At 40.5% G+C, this 23,561-nt stretch overlaps 1 long non-coding RNA gene across 2 annotated transcripts; it reads right to left on the reverse strand.

Annotated features, from left to right (window-relative positions):
* Window positions 1-1,044: 1,044 nt before the first annotated feature.
* On the reverse strand, window positions 1,045-10,031 carry LOC105375081 (uncharacterized). 2 transcript variants are annotated; one of them, XR_926864.3, is made up of 5 exons: window positions 9,849-10,031; window positions 7,662-7,724; window positions 4,767-4,804; window positions 3,494-3,537; window positions 1,045-1,831 (listed from the first exon to the last, which is right to left on the reverse strand). It is a non-coding gene; the product is annotated as an uncharacterized LOC105375081 (long non-coding RNA). The 2 variants fall into 2 exon arrangements; XR_001744148.2 differs by having other exon boundaries at window positions 9,842-10,031.
* Between the last annotated feature and the right edge of the window lie 13,530 nt (window positions 10,032-23,561).

Consider the following 23,561-nt stretch of genomic DNA (forward strand, 5'->3'; position numbering starts at 1 on the left):
CCTTCTGCTCTGAAGGTCTGCCTCAGCCTCCCAAAGTGCTGGGATTGTAGGAATGAGCCACCACACCCATCAGTAAACAATGAATTGCTATTGTTTATAAATTAAGCAGTCTAAGGAATTTTGCTATAGCAGCCCAAACTGACTAAGACCACATCCCACTGAAAAATTGAATAGTTATCTTACTAACCATGGTACTAAAATGATTAAGTACAGAGCTGAGATCAAAAACATAATGAAGGCCGGGTGCAGTGGCTCAAGCCTACAATCCCAGCACTTCGGGAGGCCGAGGTGGGCGGATCACCTGAGGTCGGAGTTCAAGACCAGCCTGGCCAACTTGGTGAAACCCTGTCTATACTAAAACAATACAAAAAAATTAGCTGGGCATGGTAGCGCACTCCTGTAGTTCCAGCTACTCAGGAGGCTAAGGCAGGAGAATTGCTTGAACCTAGGAGGTAGAGGCTGCAGTGAGCTGAGATCACTCCACTGCACTCCAGCCCGGGTGACAGGGCAAGACTGTCTCAAAAAAGAAAAATAATAATGATGAAGTTAAGAAGTCTATTTAGTGAGTAAGCATTAGAGTCAAACTCAATTTTGCCCCAGAGTTACAGTTCCAAGTGGGTGAACTAAGACAGTGTGAGAAGGTGCCCAAGCTCTCAGAGCCAGCATACTCTTTAGGAATATAGTTTCATTTTCTTTTAGTAGCAGAGTAATACAGCCTCAGTCAGAATAGATGGGAGCAGGAACTAGCCCTTTGGTTTCTTTTAATATGTACAATCAATGGGAAAATAAATAAAAATGTAAAAGTAAAAAGTGAAAAAAAAATCCAAAACAGAGCTGAAAGAAGAAATTAGGAGTTTTGTCACAAATAAGAGAAGTTCTGGGGAAATTACTTTTAGGGAATTGGCAACAACTGAATTTGTACACATTGAAAGGAAAAAAAAGAGAAAAGGTAAAGAAGCGCATTGCTCTAGACCTAAGTTGTCTCTTACCAGTGTGCTTTGTAAACTCAAGACACAGTGCTGAGGACTTATAAAAGGCTTGCCTCAGTAACTAAAATGTCTTTCAAAAAAGCAAATATAAATAGAAGTCATTTACAATTATTAAAAAGGAATTGTTTAACCCATCACAAACTAAACCACTACTAGGAGAGAAAAAGGTCAAGAGTGGCACAGCACCAAACAGGACCTCTGTGCAGAACGGTAGCATTGGGTGGGAATGGCACCTGGGAGGCTCTGGCAAATTTGATGACGAATAAGCAACACCTGACAAGAGGAGTCCGAACTGTCCCCCTGGGTATGATGATGTGCCAACGTGCCCAGAAGAATCTTGGGTTCATGGGGAGTGATGTTGAGTGCCTCATTTGCACATGCATTTAAGCAGAGTAAGCAGAACACAGAACAAAATCTGGTGCAAAAATGCAAAAACCCAGATCTTGGCCTAGCAGTGAGAAACCCTTATTCTAAGATTGCTATTAGGTGAGACAAGTGAGAGGAAGTCCTTTGCTCCAGATATTTCTGTGACCTCCTTTTCAAGGCTCCGTGGTGAGGACTTGCAGATTTCTCTGTGTGGATGACAAATATTTTTAGCACATTGGAGCTATTTTTATGCTGAATGTGGACAGCAAATTGACCCTCCCTGACTACTCCCAGCCCACATGGAAGGGATAAACAATCACTACATAACTCTTCACACTTTGGAAAGCACTCTTTCCTTTCACCATGATAATAATTCTGTAAGCAGAGCAGCAATGATTGCGGAGGACCTCGGTCACAGGGCAAAGCAGCAGCTGTCTTCTGTGAGTCTCATCTCTGCTTCATCAGACCTGCAATAGCTAAAAAGAAAGAGAAAGAAAAGAAAATGTAAGAAAGAAATTTCAATGGAGAGGAAATGTCAGCAAGCCCATCTCTGAGTCTCCATCTCATAGCTTAGAGACTGGGGAGGATGATGCCTTATTTTTTGTTCTGTATTAATGATGCTAGGTATTAAGAGGCAACTGCGTGTAGCCATAGGCATTCGGTTGGCAAAATTGCTTGAGGCGTTTCTCTATAGCCCTCAGTGCCACCACAGACAGCAAAAGTGTTCAGAGAAGATTTTTTCTCTCTTTATTTGTATTTAATATATATGGGGCCAAAAGGTACATATTATTCTCTACAGTGCCAAGCACTTGGCAGATGATGGAAAAACCCAGCATGGACAGCCAAAACTCTGCTTTCAGGACTGGTGAATGGGCCAGGGACAAATTACTGAGTGAGCCCCACCAAGATTTAAACACAGGTGAGAAGGTTAAGTCACATGAGCATCAGGGATAGTCTTTTTACAAATAAGTTGTTGGGTTGTGCTTTAAAACCACAAAACAACAATGTGATTTGCAACAGGCCAAACAATATTGAAATGTACGCTTACCTATAAGGCCAAGTCTCCTCCCCTTCTATCCTTCCCTGCCCTCCAGATAACTGTTATTAATGGTTTGGTATGTATTCTATCTACCATGCTTCATTATAACCAAGCAAACATACATATGTACCACATTGAGTTTTTTTTTTTTTTTTACTCTACATCTAATCCATCAGGAAATCTTTTAGCTATACTTTCAAAATACACCCAGAATCTGAACTGTCCCCCGATCCAGGGCCACCACCAGGTCGAAGCCTCACCATCTCTAGCCTAGATTATTATGGTAGCCTCCTAAATGTTCTTCCTGTTCTAAGATTTTTTAAAACAAAAAATGCATGTCCCTTCCCTGCCTACATCCTCTGAACAGTCTCATTTGCCTCAAAGTCAAAGTCCTCTTTTTACCTGACAAGCCCACCCCATTGCTGCCCCTCAGCTGCATCTCCTACTCCTTCTCCCATTCATTCCATGCCACAGCCTGAGCTCCTGCTCACACTCCTCCGCAAACACACCAGGCAGGCTGCCACCAACCATGGACCTTTGCCACAGCTGGGCCCCTCTGTCTAAAAACTCTTCCACAAAGACCCAGATCACCCGGTCCCTCACTTCCTTCAACCCTTTGGTCAAATGTCACCTTTTCAGTGTGGCCCACCCGGCAAACCCTATTTTAAATTTAAAGTGTTGTGTCCCACTCTCCCTCCCCCTTAAATACACTTTATTTTCTTAAATAAAGTGGAGTGACCTTCTAGTATACTATGTAATTTACTTAATTTACTAGAGTTAGTATTTACTGTTCTTCTCCCAGCTAAGAGGTATGCACAGATTTTCATCTGTTTGTTCGGTATTCCAAAGACCTAGATCAGTGCCTGGAACACAATAAATGTTGGATGACGAAGGAAAATGATTACATCATATCCCATAGGTATGTGTTGCTATAATTTAGTCACTCTTGATAAGGAACTAAACAACAACAACAAAAGATCCCAACAAAGAACAAAGCACATCATGTAGAATAGAATGAGGAAATCATACAAAGCAGGACCAGATGCCTCAACTCTAACATGTATTAAGACTAGACCTTTTAAAATGTAATAAACACCACCTTCTCTGTGAGTGCTGTCCGGTGTTGGTGGTACCACTGGAATACTGGAAATAAATAACAATAACAGAATTAAATGCAAAATATCTGAAAAAATAATTAGGGTCAAGCCTCATGATTTAGGAAAAGTCATTCTTTTTTGTGGGGGAGAAAGTCTCACTCTATCACCCAGGCTAGAGCTCAATGTCGCGATCTCAATTCACTGCAGCCTCCACCTCCTGGGCTCAAGTGATTCTTGTGCCTCAGCCTTCCAGTCGCTGGGATTACAGGCACATACAGGCTAATTTTTTTTGTATTTTTAGTAGAGAAAGGGTTTTACCATGTTGGCCAGGCTGGTCTCTGACCTCAAGTGAGCCACTGCCTCGGCCTCCCGAAGTGCTAGGTTTACAGGCATAAGCCACCGCGCCTGGACTTAGGAAAAGTCACTCTTAACTCTCTGATCTCTTTTTGAGCTAGCTTTCTAAAAGCTGGGAGTTATCAATGCTAGCTCTATAGTGCTATGAGAAATAACAGAGCCAAGGGTCTTCGGAGAGGAGAAAAGGAGAAATACTAGAAAAGTCTATGTGAGATCAAACCCCTCCACCCTCCACTGTGCTAATTCTGCCAGCTAGTCACCTTTGTTGTAATTCATTTTGTTTATTGTTGCTCCTTTTATAGCCTCCCCATGCTGGGCAGTTGCTAGGGAAACAATAAAGGGTGTCAGATATGGCAAGGGTGAGGAAGGGATTAGAGTACCCACACTGCTGAGTGAAATTTATTTAGGTTACAGGAGGGGAGGAAATTCACTCCAGGAATTACTGTGATTGCTCTCATGTCTCCAACAGTCTATAAATATACATACCAGAGGTTCAAACCTCTCTCCTTGCTAGAGCTCAAGTGCCTTAAAAGACAATTGAGTCTGGTTGGAGGGAAAAGAGTCCCAGCAGGCATGCAACTGAAACATATTAAATTCAACGCAGTTGTTAAACACCTAGCTAGTATTTTAAATGTCTCCATCCAGGCGTATTTTTCTTTCTCATGCTCTCCACTGCCCTCAGGACATCAAATATTCTTTTGATATACACAAGACTATCACATAATTACTGCAGTATTACTCCGCCGAGACAGTCAGACTGGCAGCTAGCCCCTCTATTTGGGTTAAATATTGCCCAGCATCCCAAATTCTTCCAGATCCAGGGTTTTATCTCCTTCCAGGTGATGTGGTCTAGAAGTGAGAATGGGAATGGAACAAAGAAATGTCGTAGGATCTAATCTGGCTGTTTCCCTGGCAACTTACGGTTGAGTCAAATCCCAGCGCGGGTGGCTGAGTGGCACCTGTAAGAAGCAAATGTTGGGTTCATTCGTTCATTCATTCAATTCATCCAACAAATACTTATTAAACCTGTAATATGTACCGCAAATTGTGCCACCATGAGGGTAATGACTTTAATCTGGTGTTTCCTTAATGTTGTCATTGAACCATACAAAGATTCATAGACATAGACCCTACCCTTAACGATCATCTTCTCCTGTAAGCGAGACAGTGTTTACTTTTACAACTACAACTCAATGTAGAAAGTAATTGTTGCATAGGATTAACTTGGAGTCTTGTTATCTGATAAAGTGGTGTCAGAGAATCCAGAGAATTTCTGCCCAACTAGGGGTGAGAAAAGAGGTAGAGTGTGGGAGGATCAAGCCTTACTGCACAGATAACATTAAAACTACACTTTGGCTAGGCACGGTGGCTCACGCCTGTAATCTCAGCCCTTTGCCAAGCTGAGGCAGGTGGATCATTTGAGGTCAGGAGTTCGAGACCAATCTGGCCAACATGGTGGTGAAACCCCATATTCTACTGAAAATACAAAAATTGCCCCAGTGTGGTTGCACATGCCTGTAGTCCTAGCTACTCAGGAGGCTGAGGCAGGAGAATCACTTGAACCCAGGAGGCAGAAGTTGCAGTGAGCTGAGATGGCACCACTGCACTCCAGCCTGGGTGACAAAGCGAGACTCCATCTCAAAAATTAAAAAATCAAACATTAAAAAACAACAACATGTAAAAGGTGGATTTGGCCAGTCACGGTGGTTCACACCTGCAATCCCAACACTTTGGGAGGCCAAGGCAGGTGGATCACCTGAAGTTCGAGACAAGCCTGGCCAATGTGGCGAAACCCCATCTCTACGATAAATACAAAAATTAGCCGAGTGTGGTGACGGGCACCTGTAGTCCCAGCTACTAGGGAGGCTGAGGCAGGAGAATCGCTTGAACCCGAGAGAGAGATGTTGCAGTGAGCCGAGATAGCACCACTATACTCCAGCCTGGGCGACAGAGCGAGACTCCATCTCAAAAAAAAAAAAAAAAAAAAAGATGGATTTGCTGGTGAACAATAAAACGGGAAGTCAGAGGAAGAGAAAAGAAAAGGGAAAGAGAAGAGGAAGTGACATTTGTGTTCAGATCTATAGAAAAGCTGCTACAACCAAGATCAGTTCCTAAAAACCTAGAGAAATGTGTGAAGTTTGACCCCACTTGCACATTCCTTCCCCACTTGTGTCGGTGGCACACCAACACTCCACCCCAGCCCACTCCATTTTCACATCCTCTACTTTTCTAAAATTGGGAAGCTTTGAAGCCAGATTCCTTCTCCCATCCCCTCCCTTGCCTTTTCTTCAGTGTACTTTCACTCCCAGCCCTTTTCCCTTTACGGTCAGATAATCTATTCTCAGGAAATGACTCACACCAAGGTATAAATTACCAGTATTGACACAGCATGTTACACTTAAGCAGACTGTTCGCTTTACAAGATAAGTGGCCTTTATCCAAAGAAATGACGTTGGATCTCAGACTGCAGGGTGCTTGTAGGAGTGGGAAGCAAGCGTTGCTAGGAGGAATAGAAATTTTCATCTTTTCTGGATGTGGGGTCTACTCTCCCTTCTTCATGTGTCTATTTTGGGTCTTCCCTCCACTAAAGCTAAGCTCTCTGATGGCAGTTTTGTCCATCTGGTTAGAACAGTGCCTGGGCAATAGTAGATACTCAAAAAGTATTAATACTTGTTATTTTAGTGAATGTTTAGTAAATGGCTTTTAGTGAATGTTGTCTGTTTCTAGTGCCCTGCAGCACAGATCTGATAAACTGAGGGAGAGAAGGGTAAGTAAGAAAGCCTGAAATTTAAAAATAAATATAATTTTATTTTAAATGATGTACATGTTATTGTTGAAAAAACTTAAATACAGAGAAGCAAAAATAATAAAGTAAAAGGTATTCATAATTCTCTCTCCAGGATCAATACCTGTTAAGATAGTGATGTAAACCCATCCAGATTTTTACCCATATCTACGTATAACAAAAAAGCACACTGTATTTAACATTCTAAACTTGTTTTTTAAAATACAATAAATCAAGATCATCTTGCCATGTAATAACATATTTTGTGTCCTTTTAAATGACTGCCTAATAATAATCTAGGCTGCTAGATATACCAGCAGACCCTATTCTACCAATTCTCTACTGCTGGAATCAGGTTGTTTCCAACTTTTCACTAGTACTTGTAAAAACACAGCAAAGAATGTCTTTATCACAAAATCTTTGTGCTTATTTCCTCTTACAAGTGAAAATATTGTCATCATTACTCTTAAAACATTGACAATATTTATCAAATACACCCTCTGTGCCAGGTACTTTACAAAACATTATTTAATCCTCCCCCAAACCCTACTATTTACAGATGAGGAAACTGACTTTGGAGATGCTGAGTCATTTGTCTGAGGTTACCATTAGTCATGCCTTTAATGTTTTTGATACCTATTGGCAAATTGCCTTCTGGAAACAGGGTTTGGAATGCTGTAGGGAATACTAGAAACCTGTTGTTTCAGATAAATCCTCCATGAAGGAAAGATTACACAATCTCCTTTAGTGAGCTATTCCCGTTTTATCGGCCTGTCAACATTGTTTTCTCCATTATGTTTACCCAAAACCTTTGTGATAATATAATTACCTATACTACCGGGCAGTGAGGTATCTTTTTGATTCACAATCTCATCAGACTGTATTCCAGAGAAGCAGAACATTCTGGGGCTCAGAGTCCTAAAACATGGGTTTCAACCTGATTTTATCTTTCCTGGAGTGAGGTCCTGAGACACATCAGTTTACTTACCTAAGACTTGGCTTTCATATAAAATGGCAAAACTAATACGAACCTAACTGATCTCCCAGCGTTGTGATGGTGGGATGAGATGATGAAATTGAAAGAGCTTTGCATGCTGGAAAGAACAATAGAAATGCAAGGTATTGTAATTATCAATGGCATCATCATGATCATCTCCATCCTTAAATCTATTACCTTGCTCTTATTCAGGCCTTTGCTTTCTTAGACAGAACCAACTTGCTTTTTGATACCAATTCATATGTAAAACAAACATTTTATCTAAATTCATATAGAACAAAGGGAGGCATCTTTTACTGGCACCTGTTGGTAGCAAGCGTTAGGGAGCCTTGTTCTTTTGGACTAGTGACTGAGAGAAATGAAAGCTTGAGATAAAGATGTGGGTAGATCCTGAGAAGAGACAGAAAAGACCAGAGGCTGGGAGCCACAATTGAGAGAAGTGCCCATTCCCCAGGAAGCAACAAACGGTGGTGCTTTTACTAAGTGAAAACAATCAGAGCAAAATAAAATAAAAGATGGGAGGGAAAGGAAGATAAAAGAAGAAAATGGAAATCAGAAAGGAATGAACTGTGGTATTGAGGGATACTTGGGGTGACAGTTGGTAAGAAGGCGCAATTAATTGAAATTTAGACCAGGCTGATATAACTGGATCATACATTCCTGTGCCTGTATCCAGAGGATAGTGCATTCGAGAAAGTACTAATAGGGAAATGGAACCAGACCTGTATAAACCTTCGGGCTTCGACTATAATTAGGTTTGCATCTCATTGTCTTAATCTTTAAAAGAAAGAAGTTCCTGTACATATCTGGGCTTTCTAGTCCTGAATTCTACAATTATCTACAGTATTTTCTATCAAATTCCTTTGTCCACCAGGCTATGAAAATTTCTTCTTCTCTTTCCAATACTCTGGACTTTAAAATCACTGAAATCTCATCCTGAAGGGACAGAAGAGTCAATTTAGAGCACCCAGTATGTTATTCAAGTTGATGTGGTCCAAAGTGCATTTTGTCTTCCTGGAAACCACAACACAACATGAAATAAAGGCTTTACAGGAGAATCCATTCATACTGCCTACAGGGTCTGAGGATCTTGAGAAATCTACTGTGCAGAGAAGTTAAATTTTTAAATTTAATTTCTGCTTGCTAATTAGTCATTCCCAAATAAAAAGAAAAAGAGAGGTTAATCTAATACAGGCTTTGAAACAAAGCAGAAGATTAAAGTTAACTTCTCAGGAAGAATTCTGAGGACAGCACAAAGAGAAGGGAAAAATGGATAATTGATATCAAGCACGACTTCTCAGAAAAAAAAAAACTTGAATGATTGTAAATGGAACTATTCTGTGCCATAATTTCTTAAAGATGTATTTCCCCACTAAGGATGGATATGAGACTAATGGCTTTCCTTTCCTCTCTTTAATCAGAGAGCTAGATGTCATTTAACTGCCAAATTCTTGCAACGTTATTATTTGGGTTTAAAAAGGCAAAATGGCATGTTTCTACAAACGGTTTGAGACTGTAAAAATGCAAATAACTCAGCCTAATTTACAAATTGGTGGGCGAGGGGGCTGAGCCCAGAGAAGTGTTCAATCACTAATTTTCCCATTCTGCCAGAGCCAAAGAAGCTGTTGCATGGATCTCTGATTTTTTGCGTGGAAAACTGGCACTTGGTTTTCCAGCCTGTCATTTCAGATTGAAAAGCTTTGTCTTAAATCCTTCAGACATGAAGTTGGGCAATGATGCCTGTGAGTAAATTCAATTCCTGGAACCAAATAGATGAAAAAAAAATTATAATGATAGGAAGCTACGTGTCTTCAAAGTGGTATTTTAGAAAGAAATTTATTGGAAATGATGAGAACGTAATTTAAAAAGTGTATCATCTCGGTTATAGGAGCTGAGCTGGGTTTTACAGAGTTACCGCGAGGATTTCTGTTGTGGGAAAATACCCAGGAAGTGACTGAGCCCAGCCAGACGTCACTGGAGACATGCAGAAGAAAAGGCAAGATTGGTTGTGACTCTCCTCTTCTGGGAACATTCTAGAAAGGGGTAGCAAGGATGCTGAAACCAGGCCAGCTCCATAAGACCTCACTTTGCAGAAATAGAGAGAAGTAAGGGGTGTAGGTAGGAAGAACAGAGTGGTACTGAGAAGTCTCAAGGAAGAGAGCGAAGGGGAAGAGCAGCATAGAAAGTGTGGCTGCATTTGCGTGGTGGTCTTACTGCGTACAATGGTTGAGTTCCATGGTCCTTGTCAGCCTCCCTCACAGGGGGAATGCGCAGATCTCTGAAAAAAATAGCTCCCTCTTCAGCCTGCCCCGAAATCCCCACCTATTTCCACAACAGGGAGAATGCAAATTTTCCTGCGGAAAAGCAAATAAACTGTTTTTAGGAATGAATGTTGAAATAAATTAAACCTTGATGACTCATTCATGTCTTGGAAAATTTTTATTTACCAGAAGTTATCTCTTTTGCAGGAATTCTGAAAAAAAGAAGTATTTTTTATAATCCATTTTATTTAATTAATTAATTCATTATTTATTTATTTACTTTTGAGATGGGGTCTTGCTCTGTCTCCCAGGCTGGTGTGCAGTGGCACGATCTCAGCTCACAGCAGCCTCCACCTCCTAGGTTAAAGCAATTCTCCCACCTCAGCCTTCCTAGTAGCTGGGATCACAGGGGCATGCCACCATGCCTGGCTAATTTTTGTATTTTTAATAGAGATGGGGTTTCATCATGTTGGCCAGGCTAGTCTCGAACTCCTGACCTCAGGTGATCCACCCACTTTGGCCTCCCAAAGTGCTGGGATTACAGGTGTGACCCACTGCCCCTGGCCCATTATTTTCATTTCAATGGTGGAGAGAAGAACATGGGACAAACTTGTAAAGGGTTGTAGTCATGTATTTAACAAGTGTTTACAAGCACCCACTCTGCAAGGTCTTATACTTGAAGTAGAGACTTTCAAAGAGCCTTAAGGCACCATCACTGTCCTCAGGGTCTTACATCTCCTTAGAGATCTCAATAAAACCTGAACTGTATGGAAGGAAACACTCAACAGAAGGCAGGATATAAATCCCAAATGAAAAGCAGAAGGGGTTCTAAGTGCCAGAAGTCAAAGGGGAGAGAAGACCTTCAAGGAGGTTCACAGCTATCCCAAGAGAGGGGCTTAAGTACATTACTGCTAACAGCACAGACAATGCAAAAAGGGAAGGCGGGCGTGGGGCCAAGGAGGGGCTCAGGAAAAGGCTAGCTGGGGGATGAGGACACACAACACAGGAAAACAACCCATGGAATAAGAAAGAGAGCTCCTAGGGGGAATTCAAAGATGGGAACCAGACTTGAACAGACCAACAGCAATACTTTTAGCAATGCAATTTTGTCTAACAGAAAGACAGCGTACAATCTTGGAGTCAGATAAACAGCTATCTTGTGTTGGGCCCAGTGTAGCGCCTTGGTGTCCTCATTTGTAAAACTGGGATAAAAACCCTTATCTCAAAGGATAGCAAAGGATAAGTTACACAGCAATGGGTCTGACACATAGTGGGACCTTCACACAAGTTCAGTCCCTTCCTCTGACCTCCAGATCTTTTCATCCTGCTCCCCATCACACTCAATAAACTTGAAAAAGAAAGAACATTCACCATACTTTTTTGGTTAGGTTGATCCATAAATCACTTCTTTTTCTTTTTTAATAGGGACAAGGTCTTGCTATGTTGCCTATGCTGGTCTCAAACTCCTGGGCTCAAGTGATCCGCCTCAGTCTCCCAAAGTGCTGGGATTACAGGAGTGAGCCACTGCATCCATCCCCATAAATTGCTTCTATAAACGGTCTTTGGGAAAAGGAAATAGTGGAAGTATAAAAGTCTACTCTGAATATTTGGGGATATAACATCTCCTAGGATCTGTCCTTCAAGAAAAACCACTATTAGGAATAATATAGAAAACAAATATTTTATATGCACCCTGAATGGAGGGCATTATTAAATCCCTTGTTAAAGTTAGCACTTTCCAAGTAGGAATTTTGTTTGTAAAATAAGTTTTGCACAGCTGGTGTCAAACCCCTTTCCTTGCTCCCAATATTCTAATAATTGCAATCAGCTTTGGTGATTTCTCAGAGGTGAATTACAGTAACTCTTCCTCCAAGCCTTACAACAATTTTCCCTCATTTTTTATCATTATTACTCAAAAATGCTGATGCTTTTAAGAGGCAACTCCTCCATACAGTTAGGATTCTCCACCAACTCTGCATTCTTGTCTTCATCCTAAAGGCCATGTAGAAGGAAGAAGGTGATAGAAGAAGAAAATTTCACAGTAAAAGTCAAAATTTTACCTAGGTACTACCTTATATGTATTCAGCTTTGTGGGTTTTTGTTTGTTTTTTTGCAGTTAGCTTTTATGTCTTACATACAAGATTTGTAAATTAAGAACTAGTTTCTACATCCCTGAGGTTTTTGGCACCTGTTTTTTCCCTCCCTATATTACCACTACCATCACGATTCAATTGCTCTGGAAAAGATATCTGTCAATACTGTCAAAGAACAAAATTTCAACACATTGAGTTTTGAAGATTGAATTGACTTTTATTAGTTATCCATGCAGTGGGAAACCTCCCAGCAATGAAATAGAAAGACACTCTGCTGAGCAGAGAGGCTGGGCCTTATAGGCAGAAAAGCCTCAAGAAAGTGGAGACAAGGAACAAGAAGCAGATTTGTCATTTCCCTGTATGGGTTAAAGCAGAAGGGACTTCCTAATCATGCCGGCTCAGGTCTCCTTTTCTATTGGCTGTTGTGAATCTCCTGGGTTTTTGTTGGTGATGTTTTAAACTGGCCTAACCCCAGTGACTCCTTTCTGGTCTAGTCTGGTCTCTTGGGGCCTATTGTAGGAGCTCAGTCTAGAACAATGGCCTCTCATAAATTTTATTTAACCATACAAACTAAAATGTTTGCCTTTAGGGTTCTAGTTGATATATTTAGAAAATGTAATAAGAATTAATTACAATGAGGCTTCTTGTCACTATTAAGGCTTAGAAATCTTAAAGTAGGCTGGGCATGGTGGCTCACTTCTGTAATCTGAGCACTTTGGGAGGCAGAGGTGGGCGGATCACTGGATCCCAGGAGTTGGAGACCAGCCTGGGCAACATGATGAAACCCTGTCTCTACTAAAATACAAATACAAACCCTGTCTCTACAAAAATACAAATGTGGTGGCGTGCACCTGTAATCCCAGCTACTCAGGAGGCTGAGGCACGAAAATCACTTGAACCCAGGAGGTGGAGGTTGCAGTGAGCTGAGATTGTGCCACTGCACTCCAGCCTGGACGACAGAGTAAGACTCTGTCTCAAAAAAAGAAAAAAGAAATCTTAAAGTTTATCTCAACCTTCTTAAAACTCTACCTGCGTTTTAGATAAGCTTCTCCAAGATTTACTAGCTCAGCTCTGCCCAGTTATTAAACAGCTATGTATTCCTTTCGTTTGGTTAACAGCACACACATGTTTTCCTCCATTATACTTTTAAATAGAAACAGAATTTAATATTTAAAGAGTATGTCAGGAAAAAATGTGAAGAACTCTGAAATGAGCAAAAAAGTTATCTAATATTCTTCCAGTGGAATATTACATAGTGCCTAGTGCACCTTTCCCAGTTATCTGATTCTCTAAGAACTGAGCCATTTTACAACTTTAAAAATTGTAGAAAACTGATAGTAATGGAAATAAATCTTGCCCATAAAGATGTAAGAGAACTGTGTCCAGTAGAGATTCAATTGATTTCTCCGTGGTGAAAGTGGCCAGTTTTGCATTTATCAGGAAATTCACTTCATGATCATTTATTTCCTATTTATGTCAGTTTTACAGATTCCCCTTTGTTTTACTAGTTTCCTCATTAATTGATGGTAATAACATCTTACTAGTTCCTCATTAACTAATAGCTTAAATAAAATCGTTGACATGTATTCATTTTATATTGTATGTGAGTCAGAATTTTACCATTTAAAAGGTTTCCTTTAGCAATAGGGAACTATAATTATTGCAAACTAATTCTGTACTTAAAAGAATGAAAAAAATTAGAGCAAGACTTATCTAATATGTTTAAGTAGACAATGTTAACAATGATAATTCTTATCAAGCCCTCCAAAAGAATTGTGAAACCCCTGTGAGCTCTATTTCCATGTGATCATTTCCCTCAGAAAATCTATCAGTTTAATTATCTTTTCCTGAAGAAATCTCAGCTGGGCCTTCCTTACTCCTCTTCCACTCAGAATTATTTGCACAACTGTGGTCCTGGGACTTTCCTTTCCATCTCTATATTTCTGGTCTTATGTTTTCCTCTTTCTTTGTTTAACCCCGTATTTTTGAGATGCATATCCTATGGTATCTTTTGAGAAAGTGTTCACAGGGAATAGATTTTAGAGACATTGCCAGTCTTAAAATATATCCTTATCCCACTTTTACTCATGATTTGTTAGTTTGGCTAGGTATGGAATTCAACAAACCTCACTCCCAACTCCTTCCTCCAAATGATTTCTTTAAAATGGTAAATGTGTTTCTTTACTTTTTAAAAAAATTGTTTTATTTGTTTATTTTTAAGAGACAGAATCTTTCTATGTTGCCCAGGCTGACCTCAAACTCCTGGGCTCAAGTGATCCTCTCATTTCAGCTTCCGCAGTAGCTTGGGTTACAGGTGTGTGATGCCACACTCAGCTTAGAATGGTAACTGTGTTTCTTCATTGTCTTGTTTGTTTCCCATCTCCTTCCTTCCTTTTCTTTCTTTCTTTCTTCCTTCCTTTCTTTCTTTCTTTCTTTTTCTACTTCCTTTTTTTTTCTTTCTTTCTTTCTTTCTTTCTTTCTTTCTTTCTTTCTTTCTTTCTTTCTTTCTTCTTTCTTTCTCTCTCTCTCTCTTTCTTTCTTTCTCTCTCTCTTTCCTTTCTTTCTTTTTTTTTTTCAGTGTCTTGCTCTGTCAACCAGGCTGGAGTGCAGTGGCACAATCTGGCCTCACTGCAACCTCCACCTCCCAGGTTCAAGCGATTCCCCTGCCTCAGCCTCCTGAGCAGCTGGGATTACAGGCATGTTCCACCATGCCTGGCTAATTTTGTATTTTTAGTAGAGATGGGGTTTCACCATGTTGGCCAGGCTGATCTCAAACCCCTGAACTCAGGTGATCCACCCACCTCAGCCTCCGAAAGTGTTGGCATTACATATGTGAGCCACCATGCCCAGCCACAAATTTTTTTTTTTTTTTTGAGATGAAGTTTCACTCTTGTCGCCCAAGCTGGAGCGCAATGACATGATGTCTTGGCTCACTGCAACCTCCGTCTCCTGAGTTCAAGCCAGTCTCCTGCCTCAGCCTCCCAAGTAGCTGGGATTACAGGTGCCCACCACCATGCCTGGCAAATTTTTGTATTTATAGTACAGATGGGGTTTCACCACATTGGCCAGGCTGCTCTTGAACTCCTGACCTCAGGTGATCCACCCACCTTGGCTTCCCAAAGTGCTGGGATTACAGGCGTGAGCCACTGCACCTGGCCTTATTTCCCATTTTCATATTGAGAAGACAAATGCCGTTTTTAGTCTTTTTCTTCTAGGAATCCTCTATTTTTCCTTCCGGAAGCTTTTAGAATTTTTCTCTTTATTCCAGTTTATGGAAATTTCACAATAAAGCACATTGGTATGAGTCTTTTTTTTTTTTTCCATTGTACTGGTCCTCAGTGGGTTCTTATTATCAGGAAACTCAGATTATTCTGTTGTGGTATGTTTACTGGTGTCATTTTAATACTCTTCTCCCCTTGGTATTTTGTTTTCTACTTCTGGAATAAATTGACCCTCCTCAAATTTTCTTTTCTCTCTACTTTGTAAGGTATTTTTTTGTCTTTTTTTTCCGTATCCAAGAAGATTTTTCTAACTTTACCTTCCAACCCTCTTTTATTTTTCTTCTGTCATATTTTAAACTTCTAAGAATTTGTTCTTGTCTTTGCTCCTTTCACTATGACGTTAGTTTAATTCTATGGATGCTATAACTTTCCTTGACTCTTTGAAGATTTTTAATTATAGATTTTTAAATGTGTCTTTTATTCCCAAATTAGCTTTATTTACAAAACAATCTCCTCAACTCAGGGAGTCAGCTGAGCTCTGCTTGGTTTCCCTTCTCAGCTCCCCAGCCTCGAAATTCTCTAAAGGCAGTAAGCTTGGGCAATCGTAGGACTTACCTCATTTGTTTTCCATGTCTCAGGATTCACTGTCCTTCGTTGACTAATGTCCATTGTCTCAAAAACAGATGTTTCATATATTTCATCAGTTTTTTTAGTTGTTTCGTAAAGGAAGATAAATTCTCTCTTATCCCATCTTAGGAAAAAACCACAAGTTTTGTGTGTGTGTGTGTGTGTATGTGTGTGTGTCCCCTTATTAATTTTGTTATTCAAAATATACATTTCTAAGATTTCTTGTTGTATTAATAGTTTTTCAACTTATTTCCTTTAATTTTCTTGATATAACATTTATGTCTCTTATTTATACTTTAACCTAACTGTAATAGACTGTGCTTAGCCAATAATGTCTCAAAATAGTGTCATGTGTGGGAAACTTTGTCTTTTAAAGCTTCTGGTGTTTTCACTGTAAGCCTAATGCTGACTTTGAGCTTGAAATATCTTTTTATTGTTATTTGGTGAAGACAGTATCTATTAGAGTTTTATTGTTTGTGTGTTTATCTGTGTTTTCAAATGAGAACTAGTTATAGAACTTTATTAAAATGTCTTTGCCATTGATTGAGATGAGTATACTTTTTCTTTTGATCTATTTTTAATATAGTACAATATCACAATATATATGTCAAGTGCTGAGCTGTAGTTCATTTTTGAAAATAAATTTCATTTGGTATATTTTAATGTTTTGCTGAATTTTGTATTCTGAATACTTATTTAGGATTTGTCATCTCTATCTTAAGTGAGATTGGATGTTAGTCTTTTTTAGTACTATGTTAGTAAGGTTTTGGTACAATGTTACTTTGCCTTTCTAAAAATAATTTGAAAGCTTTGTATACTTCTCAGTGCTCTGGAACAGTTTAAATAGCACTGGAATTATCTGTTGCCCCAAACTTAAATGTTTGAAATAATTCACCTATGAAGCAATCTAGGCCTGACATTTTTAGCCTGACACCAGTAGATGTAGGAGTCAGAGAAGTGGGTGGATAGATCTTCAATAATCTTTTCAACTTGTTCTGTGGTTGTTGCTCTGTTCTATGTCTTTACATCTTCTGAGGTTGATTTTGTAAATTTATATTTTCCTAGAAAATTCCTCTCTCATACAAATCTCCAAGTTCATTTGCATATCATTTTGAAAGGTGATGTTTAATAGTACTTTAGTCTCAGAATGTGTGGTTATTTCTAATTTCTTATTTATAATTATATACACAATTGGTAATTTTTTTTCCTTTGTCTTCTTGATTAAGCTGGGTAAGGGTTAACATATAGTTAAGATGTAATGGACTTTAGAGTAAAAATTCCTGGATCCAAATCCTGTCTCAATTATTGTTTGTCTTTAGTGTTTTTATCTGTAAACATGTGTATTTATTAGGATAGATTAGGTTATGCCGTGGAAACAAATGTTTCCCTTTAATGTAACTTTTTAAGTGGTAGCAGGGCAATGAGAGAAAAGGAGTGATTGGGGCGAGAGATCACTATTTTTTTCAACACCTACCATTTGCCAAGCACTGTGTTTAGGAGCTTAATGTAAATTACCTTGTAGGTTGGTGTATTAACACAAATGAGGGAACTGAGCCCGAGCAAGGTGAAGTAACTTGCTCAAGGTCATACAGGTAATAAGACACAAGCCTCTCTGGTCCCAAACCCCATGGTCTTTCTATTATACCACATAACTGGCTTGGGGAAACAAAGCACCAGGACAGTAGTTCTCCAAGTGTGGTCCTCAAGCCAGCAACATCAGCATCACCTAGGAACTTGTTAGAAATTCAAATTCTCAGACCCTACCCAGACCGACCCCAGAATCAGAAATTCAGAGAGGAAGACCCAGCACTCTGTGTCTTAACAAGCCCCCTGGTGAGTCTGATGTCCACTAAAGGTTGAGAACCAGTGCATGAGGCCATTTGTACTCAAGGGTATTTGATGATGAAGGGCTCGTAAACCTCCATTTAATACTTTCCTAGCATCTCTTCTCCTTCAAACATAAAAAGCAATCATAGAGGTGCTTCCTAGGAAGGAAGGAAGGCCCTCCTGTTGCTTCCACAAATCCGTTGTCAGCAGCAGCACAGTAGCTGCTCTTATGTTCCCAGATGTTATTGCACTGATATAAGGAGTCCAACAGAACCCTGCCCCAAGGGCCTGTGAGTAACAGCATGTACATTCTACACTCCCCTGGAGAATAGAGAGCCCAGGAGGGCTACAAAGAAACTTCCTGTCCCTTTGTACTTATAAAAATGTAGAAGAAGTGGGGAGTGGCTTCAGAGCTCAAGAGAGGATTCTCACCATCCTTAATAAAGGAAATCCAGCAAAAGAGGCCCCTGACAGAACAGATTACCCCTAGGGAAGCATGAATCCATCACTCACTCTTGCATTTTTTAACAATATTAACATCTGAAACTTTGTTTAAAAGAGCAGGGAAGCAGTGTGGTGGGCAGGGAAAATCATGAAAAAGAGATGCAGTCCATGGGGTGCCTAGAGGGAGTAGGAGATGGTGTTGCCGGTCAGCCCATCAGGGTCTGTGGGCTGTAGGGACTTGTTAAAGAACCACAAGACACCACCTTTTTTCACAGCTGATAAAGCTTCCTCCCTTCTATTCACTGCTCCCCTTCAACTATTACCCTCACCTGCCAGGGCCCCAGACAAGTTCAAGTTTTCCCTAAAGCATCCAACTCAAGACAAATGACCCACTTTACTGTGCCCTGAGAGAGCCTGGAATTGGGGAATTACAGTGCAGGTCACACTGCCATTTTGTAATTTGCTCTAGACATGTGTCAAATTTCAACTTGCTGCCAAGACAGAGCCCAGATCTGAGGGTATGCTGGCAAAACTAACCACACAAACTTTACTTTGGATCCAAATCCTCAAGCAGAATTATGCTGACCTTTGAATGTTCAAACAGTGTTAAGTTTAGAGAGTCGGTAGAGGAAAGCGTTAGGTTAAGCAGGAACCAAAAGCCATCAATCACTTTGGTCAACCACGATGAAAAAAAGAGGAAAAAATTCGATTATACCCATGGGAATTGTCCTCACTTCTCTAGTCACTGCAGAGTCAGGCCAGCATGTGAAATCTCAGTCCCCTCTTTATTTATTTGCTAACAAAAGGAAGAGTGAGAAGAAAAATATATTTGCTTTTCACTAAGCAAACATCACAGGTGGGTGTTGGTTGTTTCTCTTTCTTTTCTTGGAGAACAGTTTTTTGGGATTTTTTTTTTTTCTTTTTGAACAGATGCTGGTTACGAGAAACAGCCTGGATTCTAAATGAGTATTTTTCTATAACAAGGCTGGTATAACAATGCACTATTTGTGAATTATACTGCTATGATTACCTGAAGAATGGAAGTGGGGATTTAGGCTGATGTTAAAAAGCAAGCTGAATTATTTAGTGGACTTAATCATACAGCTGCCTCTGCTTGCCCTTAAAAACTAGGTCGCCAGCCTCTTGCAGAAGAAGAAAATTAACACTGAGTTTAAACGAATCCCATCAACATGAATCAAACTCGACTTTCCCCAATCAGTGAGACCAGAGGCACTGCTCTATGTTTAGCCGTTTCACCAGCCCACAGCCACAAAAGCGGCCCCTTCCCGCTGTGTCTATGCCCTCCTCATTGCCAAACTAAAGACCTTGCTCTCAAATATGAACTGCAGACTCATACATGTATATAAACATTTGCCACTTTGTTTCAATCTCCCAGCACTTTTCAACACCATTCTTATGATTGGGAAATTCTTCACTATACACACCAGACATACTCTCATGGACTCCCTTGAAGGAAGGGCCTGCCATGTGTGACTTAGATATTGTCATCAGAGCCACCTCCTTTGGAAGCCAGTGGCATGAAGAAGCAGATACCACACTGATTCCATTTCAGCAAGGATGTTAGCAGCCGGGTCCAGTTTCCTGAGGCAGCAGTGAGGGGGAGTTCTAGCAGCAGTGTCTAGTGTCCTGGGACTGAGAGAAGGGCAAGTTCTGTGCCCATCCTTACCCCCCAGACCAGATCTCCTATCCAATTTTAGGTGTTTCTGACTACATAGCCTCTAATCCCACCTCACCAGTCTTGATGGACACTGTAAATTGTTCATTTTCAATGGGTAACACTGTAAGTTACCCATTTTCAAGTCAATTCTTTTTTAGCCTAAGCTGATCCAAACTGAATTCTGTTGCTTGCAACCAAGAATCCTAACTTGTACAGCATGTATCAACTCATTCAATCCCCAGAACAACCCTATTTAGCAGAGCTAACCTCATTCCACAGATGGGTTTTTTGTTTGTTGTTTGTTTGTTTTTGTATTGGAGATGGACTTTTGCTCTTTTCATCCAGGCTGGAGTGCAATGGTGCAATCTTGGTTCATTGCAACCTCTGCCTCCCTGGTTCAAGCGATTCTCCTGCCTCAGCCTCCCAAATAGCTGGGATTACAGGTACCTGCCACCACGCCAGGCTAATTTTTGTATTTTTAGTAGAGACAGGGTTTCACCACATTGGCCAGGCTGGTCTCAAAACCCTGACTTCAGGTGATCCGCCCGCCTCAGCCTCCCGAAGTGCTGGGATTACAGGCGTGAGCCACTCACTGCGCCCAGCCTGGAAGACAGAGACTGAGCAGTCACTTAGCCTAATGCATAGGAAAGCTGAGATACCATATCCTTTTTTTCCAGTTCCAAGGACTTTCAACCACACCACACTACCTATCTTGACAGTGAACTTGGAATTTAGTTTCTTTGACTTTTCTGCTTACAGCATTCTGTCCTTAACTCATGCAATTTTTTTTTATTGGTTTGGGTACTTAAGTCTTATCTCTCTGTGTAAATGTTCAGCTGCTTGGACTCTATCTAATACCTACGTTGTATCACAGCTAGCTTTTTAAATTTTCGTCTCTTCTTTATCATTTTCATACCAGTAAAATCAGATTAAAATGAAAATGTTATGGATAATATTTTGGTATGTACATATTATAATCAGCATACAGCCTATAAAAATCCTTGGAAGGAAAGAGGAAAATATTGTTGCCAGGTTCCCAGTCTCTATCTTCCCTGCTGGTGGGGTGCTAAAGAGCATCATTTCTATGTTAGCACCTGTGGCTTGCTGCCATCCACCCCTTCCCTTCATGCACACTTGCAGGTAGCCTCCCCAACTCATTCAAGTCTTCTTGCCCCCAAAGAAGCTCAGATAAAGCTCTCATTACCCCCAAACTCTTTCTGGGTCTACCTCCTCTAACCTCTTCCTATCAGCCCTGGGGCAATCAACCTCATAATGGAGGAGGACCACAGCTGCCCCAAGCCCCATCTTGGGGCTGCAGATAAGAAGGTCTGTCCATACTGGCATTCCAAGTGGACTTGGCAACAGCTGCTAACCGCCTAATGTACAGCCTGTGTTCTAATCCTAGTGTCACCAGCCACAAGTCATTGGGTCTGCCCTTGCAGAGAAAGGTTGTTTAACTTATGAAAGGTGTACTAGGTGTCATCTCTTCAACCTCCCTTCGTTTTCCTTCCTCTTTTTTAGCTCTAGGGAAATTTAGGGGATCTGTACTCTCTAAAGTTCAACAACTCCTCAGGGTCCTTTGGAGTTTAGGATTCTGTCTCTGAACTCTTCTCTACTGGTGAGCATGGGGCAGGGACTAGAATTGAGACCAACTGGAAATGTCAACAGAGAAAGCTGTAGTATTTTAAGTTACTGTCTGTCACCTAGATGTCATTCCATCATCCACATTATTGGTTCATTCTCCATAGCATTCATGAAAATAGGAGTGGAAAAAAGGCAACTAACATCTCCTGAGTACCTGCTATGTGCAGTGCTGTGCACAGATGATTTAGGTTTTCACTTAATCTTTACAAGAACCTAAAATATCATCTCTTTTGTTTCAGTTTTATAAATAAGAAATTTAAGCCAATGAGAGAACAAGTAATCAGTTATATAGGTAGCATCTAATAGAATTATTATTAGAGTCCAGGATTTTTAATACCAAAGTTCCTACCACAGTAAAACAAACCTATGAACAATACCTGCTTTCTCAGAGTGTCCACAGCACATCAAAATGTGGATAAACTAAGATTTTATATTTTAAAATCCAGGGAGCTTGTTTTTACTTTAGAGATATTTAGAGAACTGTAGATGCCAGTTGTTTCTTCCTTAAACTAGTTGATTTTATTGCATCACTCACAAAAATTATTTACTTAGTTGACAAGCCTGGAGATTCACCACACCTCATTTATTTTAATATTTGTTACAGTGACACAACTAGAAAAATGCATCACAAAAACAAGAATCAGCCCAGGATGGCCTTAAAATGTAGAGCAGAATGGACAAGGTCTCATTCTCATACTGTCAGACCATACTCTTTGGGGCAAGTTTTATTTTATTTTATTATTTCTCTTCTTCTTTTTAAAATTTATTTATTTTTTATTTATTTATTTTTTAGACAGGGTCTTGCTCTGCTACCCAGGCTAGAGTACAGTGGCATGATCATAGCTCACTGCAGCCTCAAACTCCTGGGCTCAAGCAATCCTCCCATCTCAGCCTCCTAAGTTTCTGTGACTACAGGCAAACACCACTACTCTCGGCTAATTGTTTTTTTTTAATTTTTTGTAGGGATTATGTCAGCCTGTGTTGACCCAGGCTGATCTTGAACTCCTGTCCTCAAGTAATCTACCCACCTTGGCCTCCCAAAGTGCTGAGATTACAGGTATAAGCCACCATGTCTGGCCTTGAGGCAAGTTTTTTAATGGACTGTAAATAAAAATCCTGAAGCCAGAAAACAGGAAATTTTAGAGTTCAGCCCAAAAAATTCCTTGAGTGTCATTTCAATTTGCATAATCTAAAAATTAAAAAAAAACAACAACGGAAACCAAATGTTATGCATTGAATCAATTTCAAAAGTCTGAAAAACAAAGAGGAGGACGCCTTCTTCCCCCTGGCCCTAACCTTCAATTGAGTGTGTTCTGTCCAAGATCTCATGATTCTAGGAATGTGGAAGATGGCTTTGCTAAACAAATGAACAAACAAACAAAAATAGTAATGTTGACTCACTCCAGATCCAGAAAGGCAATAGAAACCTTTTACTCCTTGGGATGAATTCAAACAAAGGTAATGAGAGAAACTGAAATGGAAGGAGAGACGAGAGAGATATTCCTCTCCCAATTTGTCACCTTTAGGATCATAGCGTTGTTGGTATTCCCCTTCATCTGCAGCACCTTCCTCTCCCAATGTTCTTCCATATGACAGATGCCAAGGCCAGGCCCGATGACTCATGCCTGTAATCCCAGCACTCTGGGAGGCCGAGGCGGATGGATTGCTTGAGCCCAGGAGTTCAAGACCAGCCTGAGCAACATGGCAAAACCTTGTGTCTACAAAAAAATATAAAAAATTAGCCAGGTGTGGTGGTGTGTGCCTGTGGTCCCAGCTACTCAGGACGCTGAGGTAGGACAATCAATTGAGGCCAGGTCAAAGCTGCAGTGAGCCGTCATTATGTCACTGCACTCCAGCCTGGGCAACAGAGCAAGACCCTGTCTCAAGACAAGAGGAGAGGAAGGGAGGGGAGGGGAGCGGAGGGGAGGGGAGGGGAGAGAAACCCAGCAAATTAAAGTGAAAATCTGCCTTGCACCACACCTGGGAATTTGTGGATATAAACCATACCCATTAGCTGGGTTAGAGTTCAGCTGACTGGCAAATATGCATTTTCTAAGACCACAGCATCATTCCAGGTGCTGTAGAAAATAGACATGTTTGGCCAGGCATGGTGGCTCATGCCCATAATTCCAGTAATTT

This window comes from Homo sapiens, chromosome 6 (genome assembly GCF_000001405.40).
Source record: "Homo sapiens chromosome 6, GRCh38.p14 Primary Assembly".
In the NCBI taxonomy this organism is placed as follows: Eukaryota; Metazoa; Chordata; class Mammalia; order Primates; family Hominidae; genus Homo; species Homo sapiens.